Below are 10,209 nucleotides of genomic sequence, written 5' to 3'. Positions count from 1 at the left end.
GGACTCAGAGGCTGTGGAGAAGGCCTCAGTAGTTTCAGAGGCTGAGGTGGGAGCTACAGTAGGCACAGAGGTTATCATCCAGGCTGTGGGGATCTCGGAATCTTTGCTAGAGGCCAATGTAGTCACAGACTGCAGTGGTTCCTGAGGTTATGATGGAAGCCAGAGTGATCTCAGAGCCTGTGGTGGTTTCAGGCGCTTTGATAAAGACTGCAGTAGGCACAGATACTATCTTGGAGAGAGTGGTGCTCTTGGAGGCTATGGTAGAGTCCATGGTGGGCACAGACTTGGTCACGGAGTCTATAGTATTCTGATAGAGTGTGGTGGAGGCTGTGGTGGACACAGACGCTGTAGTGGTCTTAGCAGGCATTACGGTGGCTGTGGAGAACCCAGACTGTGTGGTTGTCACAGGAGCTTTGGTGGAGACCACAGCAGTCTCAGAACCTGTGGTCATGGCTGTGGTCATGGCTGTAGTCACTTCAGTGGCAGAGGTGGAAGCTCTGGTGGTCTCAGAGCCTGTGCTGCTTTCAGAGGCTGTAGCGAAGACTGTGGTGGGCACAGATGATACTGTGTGGTGTCCGGTGTTCTCAGAGCCTGTGGTAGAGGTTGTGGTGGGCACAGATGCTGTGGTGGTCTCAGCAGGTGTTGGAGGGGCTGTAGAGGGCGCAGACTCTACAGTTGTCCCAGAGGCTTTTGTGGAGATTGCAGTGGTCGCAGAGTCTGTGGTGGAGGCTGTGGGGATCTCAGAGCCTGCGGTGATTTTAGAGGTTGTGGTGAAGACTGTGGTGGGCAGAGATGTTATCGTAGAGGTCGTGGCGGTCTTGGAAGCTGTGGTCATGGTTTTAGAGGCTGTGTTGGGAGCTGTGGAAGGTGTAGATGTTATCACAGAGGGTGTGTTGTTCTTGGGGACTGTGGCGGACACAGATGCTGTGGTGGTGTCAGTAGGTGTTTTGGTGGCTGTGTGGGGCACAGACTCTGCAGCTATCACAGAGGTTTGAGTGGAGACTGTGGTGTCCTCGGAGGCTGTGATGGCAGCAATGGTAGTTTCAGACATGGTGGCCTCACAGGCTGTTGTGTTCTTAGAGCCTGAGGTGGAAGCTGTGGTGGGCACAGGTGTTACTGTGGAAGATGTGGTGGTGTTAGAGACCGTGGTGAAGGCCAGGGTGGACTCAAGGGCCAGGATAGAGGCTGTCACTGGCTCAGACACTGCAGTGGAGAACCTGATGGTCTCATAAGCTGTGGAGGAGACTGGGATGGCTGCAGAGCTCATGGTGATCTCAGAGGCTGTGCTGGAGGCTGTGCTGGAGGCTGTGGCTGACACAGACATTGTAGAGGACGTGATGATCTCAGAGGCCGTGCTGCTCTCAGAGCCGGTGGTTGAGGCCACAGTGGCACAGATGCTGTGGTGGAGGGTGTGGTAACCTCAGAGGCTGCAACAATAGTTGTGGTGGCTTCTGAGCCTATGGAGGTCTCAGAGTCCATGGTGGAGATGGCGATGATCTCAGAGGTTGAGGTACTCTCAGAGCCTGTGGTTGAGGCCATTGTGGACACAGACTCCACCATGGTCTCAAAGGCTACAGTGGGCCCTGGGGGCATAGTCCTTCCTGAAAAATATCAATTTTTAGTCAAATACGACACCTACTTTACATTTTTGATATTTAATTAGGAGCATCGTGCATATGTCTTTCTTGTTTCCTTTACATCAGCAGAACTGCTGGTGTCGTTACCTTTTATTTGGAATCATGTATTTCAGAGGCTCAGCATTTGCAGTTTCCTCCGCAGCTAAGGGCCCGGTTGCTGATTCAGCTGTGCTTCTGTAGTGCATGAGTCATTTGATCGATCTTCTTGGCACCTTGTCCTTTCTGCCATAATGTTTTTTGGAACTGTACTTGCCTAGGTGAAATAAAATCTAACCTATGTTAAGGAGGCTCCACATTATCTCTGTGTGTGTTATAACACTAAGGATAGTTGGGTCTCATCAGATTAGGGGAAAGTGTGTTGTTTGAAAACCTCATCCAGGGCCAGGCACAGTGGCTCACGCCTGTAATCCCAACACTTTGGGAGGCCAAGGCGGGCAGATCACCTGAGGTTGGGAGTTCGAGACCAGCCTGACCAACATGGAGAAACCCCGTCTCTACTAAAAATACAAAATTAGCCAGGTGTGGTGGTGCATGCCTGTAATCCCAGCTACTCAGGATGCTGAGGGAAGAGAATTGCGTGAACCCAGGAGGCAGAGGTTGCAGTGAGCCGAGATCGTGCCATTGCACTCCAGCCTGGGCAACAAGAGCAAAACTCTGTCTCAAAAAAAAAAAAAAAGAAAGAAAGAAAGAAAACTTCATCCAGGTCATCTGGACTGATCAGAAGAATCCCCTTGTCTGGGTGGAAGTGACAAGGAGGTCATAGGAGGGCAGCTTGAGCAGAGACACTCTGGTGCAAGTCCCCCATCACTCTTTGGGACGTTCAGCACACGATCCCTGCCTGAAGGGAGCCTGCAGGTTCTCATCCACCATCTGAGAGCACCGGGGTGTAAAATTCACAGGAGGCCAGCTTTTTTCCAGCCTCTTCAGGTGGTGAAAGTTGATGAGTTAGGCAGTTTGTAAAGAGACACAAGGAGATACTAGGGGGAAAAGTCCTTGGGAAGATTTCTTCCCCTCCCCTCCTTTCCCCTCCCCTCCCCTCCCCCCTCCCTCTCTCTCTCTCTCTCTCTCTTTCCTTCTTTCTTTCTTTCTCTCTCTTTCTTTTTCTTTCTTTCTCTTCCTTCCTTTCTTCTTTAATTCCTTCCTCCCTTCTTTACTTCCTTCCTTCCTTCTTCCTCCCTCCCTCCCTTCCTTCCTTCTTTCCCTCCTTCCTTCCTGTCTTTCTTACTTTCATTTATTTACTCTTCTAGTATAACATACTAGATTAAGTGGTAGCACTGGGAATGGATTAGAGAAGAATCTGGGGGATTAGTCTGGGTTTCTCTCTGATATACACTCTCTGCATCCAGGCCTTCTCATTCATTTATTCAAACATATTCCTTAAGAACCTTCTGTGGGCCACATGATGTGCCAGGCATGGGATACAGTGATTGAAAAGTTGATACAGAGCTTATATTCAAATAAGGGAGAGAGACCATGAATAAGTAAATGGATGATGTCCGAAATGAAAAACCTATGCATAGCTGACTGGGACTCTTTCAGGGGCCAAAAGGAAAAGTCCCTCCTGTCCTCCATGCAGGACCATGTGCAGGACCAAAAAAGAAATGAGAGGCCCAAAGCAAAGAAATACCTGCAGACTGGTTTTTCAAAATGGAAGCCGTACTGTGACAGTGCCCTTCTGAATATGGAAAAGTAGCGCTTCTGAGCAAATTGCCACAATGTTTTCTTGTTTTTGTTTTGTTTTGTTTTGTTTTTTTAAATGGAGTTTCACTCTTTTTGCCCAGGCTGGAGTGCAGTGGTGTGATCTCGGCTCACTGCAACCTCCGCCTCCTGGGTTTGAGTGATTCTCCTGCCTCAGCCTCCTGAGTAGCTGGGACTACAGGCACACGTCACCACGCCCGGCTAACTTTTATATTTTTAGTAGAGATGGTTTCACCATGTTAGCCATGAACTCCTGACCTCAAGTGATCCGCCCACCTCAGTCTCCCGAAGTGCTGGGATTACAAGCGTAAGCCACCGCGCCCAACCTAGTTGACACAATGTTGAAGGAAATGCAGAAATCCCAGCCTTTGATGGATCTAAAAAACAGCAGCACTGACACAGCAACCTCAGAGGCATTGGAGCAAGCTGGAAAGCTCAGAGAAAATGTAGACCCAGAAAAGGCTGTACGGTTATACCAACAAACAGCAATGCATTTAAAAATGTGGAATGCCTCAACAGGCAGCTGAACAGTTAGGAAAAGCCTCAGGACTGCTAGTATAAGGATGCAGGATTGATGGGACAGCACTCTCTATTTATAAAGAAAAATATTTATAAGGAAACAGAGTTATCCAACTATAAGAAAATAGTCGCTCAAGTATTAGTTCCTCTACATAGCAACGACTGTGCAGCTGGGAAAGCTGTGTCAGGAGAGCTCCAGCACAGCAGGAGTCCGTGCAAGTGGTGGCTGAGCTGTGCTAGAACAGCTTCCAGAAGGGTTTGCCCAGCAAGACCAAGCTACCCATCAGAGGTCAGCAACTCTCCACTTTTCAAGTACACAGGCAACGATTATGCTAAACCCAGCCTGAGTTTAGTAGTTCCGGGACAGAGAATCAAGAAGAAATTACCAGGGATGGTTGCACAACCACATGAATGTACTTAATGATACTAAACTTTACTCTTATAAATGGCTAAAATGATGTATTGTAAGTTATGTATATTTTATCATGGTTAAGAAAATAAGAAGGCGGAGGAGAAAGCAGAGAGGGAGAGAGAAGAGGAAGAGGAGGAAGAATTAGAAGAAAAAGGAGGAGGAGAAGAGGAGGAGGAAGAAGGGAAAATCAGCAGCTACCCTGGCCAAGCCTGGTGGCATCATCTTTGTAGCTGCTGCTCAGGAAGACAAATATTTGGGATTGTGCAAGTACTTTGCTATGCAAAAAGGAAAGGAAAAATTCTGACACGGCATTTCATGGACTTGGAGCTTGTTTAAGAGTACTCCACACTTCATTGCATCCATGGTTTTGAATGCTAATAAAGCCTCTAAGGCTGGGCATGGTGGCTCATGCCTATAATCCCAGAACTTTGGGAGGCCGAGGTCGGTGGATCACCTGAGGTCAGGAGTTCAAGATCAGCCTGGCCAACATGGTGAAACCCCGTCTCTACTAAAAATAAAAAAAATTAGCCAGGTGTGGTGGTGCATGCCTGTAATCCCAGCTACTCGGGAGGCTGAGGCAGAAGAATTGCCTGAACCTGGGAGGCAGAGGTTGCAGTGAGCCAAGATCGCACCACTGCACTCCAGCCTGGGCAACAGAACAAGACTCCGTCTCAAAAAAATAAAAAATAAAAAATAAGACTCTAATTTTTAGTTATCAATTCCCCAAATAACCTATCTGTGTCTGCTACCTGGAAAGCATTTTTTTTTTCTTTCCATAAGAGCTTTCTAAAACATAAGCAGGAGTTAACAGTAAATGCACTGTCATATTTTCATACAGTTTGTTTTAAAACTTATGAGCCAAATTCTAGATAAATTATGTTTTAAACAACAGAAACAATAGATATGGATATTTTCTCTCGAGTCATGTAACTTAGAGAATTTCCTTTGCATTTTATTTTATGATTACTGCTAAAATGAAGTTTACTGATTTTTAAAAATTAGAATTAAAAAATATTTTTAGTTTTGTTTTGAAAAGAAAATTTATCCCTCCATGATATTGGATACTGTCTTAATCACCTTGGACTGCTATAGCAAATACCACAAACTGGGTGGCTTAAACAATGGTAATTTGTCTTCTCACAGTTCTGAAGGCTGGGAAGTCCAAGGTTAAGGTACTGGACAACTTGGTTCCTTGTCAGGGCTCCTTTCTGGATTGCAGATGGCTGCCTTCTTGCTGTGTCCTCACATAGTGAAGACAGAAAGAACTCTCTTTCTCCTTTGATAAGGCCACAGTCCCATTGAATTCGGGCACCACTCTTATGACCCCATTAACTTTAATTACTTCCTAAAGACCCTATCTTCAGATATAGTCACATTGATGATTAAGACTTCAACATATGAGCCGGGCACGGTGGCTCATGCCTATAATCCCAGCACTTTGGGAGGCCAAGGCAGGAGGATCACTTGAGCTCAGGGGTTCAAGACCAGCCTGGGCAACATAGTGAGATATGGTCTCTACTAAAATTTAAAACAAAACTAATTAGCTGGGCATGGTGGCAGCCTCTGGGAGGGGTGAGTGCTGAGATGGGAGGCTCGCTTGAGCCCAGGAGGTCAAGGCTGCAGCAAGCTATGATTGTGCCACTACACTCCAGCTTGGATGACAGAGCAAGCCCCTGTCTCAAAAAAAAAATAGAAAAAAGACTTAAACATATTTAGGGGGGACACTGTTCAGTTCATAGTAGATATATTTAAATTAGTAAGTCCTTTCAGAGGTGAGATTGGGACAGGAAGCTATTTTGAGACTTACAATATTCTTTAGTCCAATAAAAGACGCAATTTAAGGTCTCATTAAAAAAAATCTATGAATTGCAATACAATATGGGCATGATGTTTAAATCTGCACTTGCAAATACTGGGATAAAAAGCTAAAAGTTAAAAGTCGTCTCCTCTGGAGAACAGGAATTGGACATGAAAAGGGGGAGGGTGCATCCGTGCTAGTTTTTGCAATAAATCTATGGAACTATTGGACTCTTTAAACTATTTACATGGATTGCTCTGGTAAAACTTGCAGAGAAAATACATACACACAGAGAGTAGGAGATAAGGACATGAAGATAGTGTTTGTAGGGGATTGTTTCAAGAGGCTTGGTGATGAAGGGGAGCTGATGGGGGCAAGGCTGAGAAGATGTGGGTGGGGGTCTGTGAAGATGGCTGCCAGCAGAGCAGAGCTTTCCAAAGTGTGTCCCTGGACCACATCAGGAGTGCCTGGGGAACTTGTTAATTTTTTTTTTTTTTTTTTTAATAGAGACAGTGTCTCGCAATGTCGCCCAGGCAGGTCTCTGACTCCTAGCTTTGGGCAATCCTCCCACCTTGTCTTCCAAAAGTGCTGGGATTACAGGCCTGAACCACTGCATCCAGTGGCCATCTCCATTTTATTTATTTATTTTTTATTTTTTTGAGACAGCATCTCATTCTGTCACCCAGGCTGGGGTGCACTGGTGTGATCTCAGCTCACTGCAACCTCTGCCTCCCAGGTTCAAGTGATTCCCCTGCCTCAGCCTCCCAAGTAGCTGAGATTACAGGTGTGCACCACCACACCTGGCTAAGTTTTGTATTTTTAGTAGAGACGGGGTTTCGCTATGTTGTCCAGGCTGGTCTCAAACTCCTGGCGTGATCCGCCCACCTCAGCCTCCCAAAGTGCTGGGATTATACGCATGAGCCACCGTGCCGGGTCTTTAGAAATCTACTTTTTAAAAATACTCTCCTCTGGGTGCTTCCTGTGCACACTGCTTAGGGCTTATTTGGCTGGTGTTGGGAAGGACCCTGTAGAAGGAGAAGGAAAAACTGGAAGGGGAAGAAGCCCATGAAGAAGGCAGGAGGTGTGGGATGGGGGAGCCAGAGCCAAGATGCACGAACACTCCAATGTTAGCAGGGGAGAATGGATGCTGATGAAGGCGGCTTTTTAGACTTGATGGTGGGAAGACGAGGTGGGTCCTGACAGTATTTTGCACACTTGTGCCTCTCTTTTATTATATGCCTTCTTTGTGTGATCTCTGCCTTTCCTAGTGAACTGTGAGCTCCCTGAAGGCAGGGCCTGTTGCTGTTTTGTTCACTGATTTATCTTCAGAACTAGCACAGAGTAGATGCTCAAAAAATGTTTGCCAGATGAACACGTGAATGTCACGTTTGATATGATGTGACATCCAAGTGAAGATATTATTGAAAAAAAATTGAAAATAAAGGACTGGATTTCAGAGCCAAGGTAGACTTAATATGAGTTTGGAAGTTGCCTGTTGCAGTAATAATTTGGGCCTCTTAAAATGAACAAGCTCACAGAGACGCAGGGAGGAGGAAAAGAACAGGATGTGCAAGGCAGGGTCTCCAGGAGAGTGCCTGGGATAAGAGAGCAGAGAGAGGATGCAGGAAACAGACATCAAAGAAGCCACCACAAAGCAGCCTCCTGTTCATTCAGCCTAGGGCTGTTTCTGTTTATTCCAATTCCACAACTGTCTCCTTGCTCCCTTTTTATGGCATTCCATCCTACAGTGGAAGCGAAGGGGCTTTATAAATCTGCCTGACATTGGGTTGTAGTCATTAGGCAGAGAAACTTGAAACATTGAAGGGACCAAGGAGAGAAGTCAGGTGGAGAGAAGTCAGGTGAAATGGCTAGGAAGACAGGAATTTGGATTGTACTTCTCTTCAGGCTAATATCACCCACAGTTCCCGTATCCCTGGGATCCGAAGGATCCCTCCCTGTCTCTATCCGGGGATTATGAAAGCCCTACTGAGGATTTTAATTTAGGCAGTATTTCTGGAAGTGATATTTTCATTTCACTTGGCTTTAGACTTGGAGCCTAGCTCTAATAAATATTTAAAGATGATATTGAAACTAGAATTTTCAAGTTAGATACAAAGCATTTGTTGAGCAGCCGTTAAACCCGGGATTCTAAGGAAATACAACACAGCTATTATTTGTGTTCATGCTTACAGCGGAGCATTGGAAGGGGAAGATGAAGGTGGGTTTGCTGCAAGGTGAAGTTGGGGGTCAAAATCGTGGTTAGTGGGGGTTAAGGTTAGTACTGGCTTTTGCAGAAAGGGGCAAAAAAGAAGTTCATCATCTTTGCTTGCTTTTTGCTTTTGCAAAAGAATGAGAATAAGAAAAGCAAACAGAATGCCTGGGACAGGAACCCTTGTCTCCTTCAGACTTTTTGTGGCCTCAGTGTCTTCTCCGATTGATGGATAATTCACTTACCAGTCTCAAGATTCCAAAGAGAAGCATCACCTGGATGCAGGAGGTGGGAGGTAATTTCCCTCACCTCATCTTGAAATAATCCATGTGGGAAGTTGTTATCTAGAATGCCTGGGTTCTAGAGGGCAGATGGGCTCCAGAGGGGGCCTTGATGCCTGGTGTCTCAATGGGACATGAAGTTGCAGGAAGAATTAAAAGCTTGCCAGGGGCAGGGTTCTGGGAGGAGTAAGATCAGTTGGGGTAGGTTCCAAGACAGTGGTGAGTGGGGACTGGGAATGCTGGATTCCTGGGTTCTGAGGGTTGCTCCCACAATATGTCTGGCTTAATTTCTTTTCTCACTTGACCATAGCTGTGGCATTTATAGTTGCCACCAGGCAGGGGAGGCCGTAACTTCTGGACGCTCCCTCTCCAGGGAGGGGTATCTTAAGGCCATGACAATATGAGGGAAGAAGGAGGGAGCGGGAGAGAACAAGGGAATCACATCTGTGGGAGGAGAGGAGACCCACCCTCCCAGCCAGAGGTCAGCAGAAACCTGTTTTCTCTGGGATGTCTCATTTCTGGGACAGAGGCCTTTGTAGGAGGCAGAGGGGAGAAAAATGAAGGTGACTGTGTCCCAAATCATTGGATCTTCTTACTTTGCCAGCACCTCTCCAGGGACAGCTGGGCACTGTGAGGGGAGGATGCAGAGCCTGTGACTATGAGGCCAGTTAATGTGTCTCCGGGGACAGAGGCTGGCAGAAAAAACCCTGACCTGGGATACTGGCAGTGAGGCCAGAAGAAGACTCTGGACGTTCAAGGAGCTGGAAAGGGAGGCCTGGACTCTGGAAGAAGGGGCTGGACACCCTCGTGCAAATCTCAATTACACCCTGTTCCTTAGGTGGTCCCTGTAACATCCCACCCGTCCAGGTGGGGCTGCCTTGGTGTCAGAGAACCTGGCTCCACTGAGGAACAAAGTGAAATTGAGGCTTGGAGAAAATAAAGCAAGCCTTCTGTTCCATAGGAGCCGTGTGGGTTTGAACAGGGCTCTTCTCTGAGCCTCGGTTTTCTCATCTGTAAAGCAAGCTTTATAAGAACTCTTATAAGGTCTGTAACTTCTTATAAGGCTTGTAAAGCAGGCCTCGTAACTCGCAGGGTGATCGGAGGATCACAGGTGCGATGTACGTGAAAGCACAGCACAAACGGGTGTCAGTTTTATGGCCAATGTCACGGGGGTAGGAGCTACGCCCAGGCCCGTCAGTCCAGGCCCCTCCCTGGGGGCTGGGGGCTGGGAGGAGGGGATTCGGCGCAGTAGGGCTGGGGCGCTGCGGGGGCGGCGGCCTCGAGCCACTAATCTGAGCTGTCCGCAAGAGATCAGAAGCCGCCCGCAAAGCGGAACCTGGAGGAACGAGGGAGGGCCGCAGTCTCGGGGAACCGGAGCCCCCGCTGCGACTCCGCCGGGACAGCAGCTTCCGGCGCCCCGGCAGCCTCCTGCCCTCGGGGCACTCGCTCCCCCCGAGGTGTACTCCCCGAGGGCTGGGGGAGCGCATTCCCTCCCGTCCTACTGATTAAGTAATTATCCCTAATGAGGGCCCAGCCCCGGAGCTTGTTAAAGGATTTCCGCCTAGATTTCAAAGTGATAATTAGCGGGGAATAGAGAGGAAAGTGGGAGGGAGACACCCGCCGCGCCCCAGGGCCCACAGTCCGCCTTTGCCGGG

At 47.7% G+C, this 10,209-nt stretch overlaps 1 pseudogene, besides 1 other annotated feature; it reads left to right on the top strand.

Moving 5' to 3' along the window:
• NAPGP2 (N-ethylmaleimide-sensitive factor attachment protein, gamma pseudogene 2) lies at positions 3,665 to 4,242 on the top strand (annotated as a pseudogene).
• Positions 9,251 to 9,931: an enhancer, noted in NCBI's record as "H3K4me1 hESC enhancer chr6:30923489-30924169 (GRCh37/hg19 assembly coordinates)". NCBI's record gives its function as "activates a minimal SCP1, AML or CMV promoter by ChIP-STARR-seq in naive H9 embryonic stem cells {active_cell/tissue: H9 hESC(naive)}" and the evidence as "EXISTENCE:reporter gene assay evidence [ECO:0000049][PMID:30033119]".

Source organism: Homo sapiens, chromosome 6 (assembly GCF_000001405.40).
Source record: "Homo sapiens chromosome 6, GRCh38.p14 Primary Assembly".
NCBI classification, from domain to species: Eukaryota; Metazoa; Chordata; class Mammalia; order Primates; family Hominidae; genus Homo; species Homo sapiens.
This window is presented reverse-complemented; position numbering and strand designations above follow the sequence as displayed.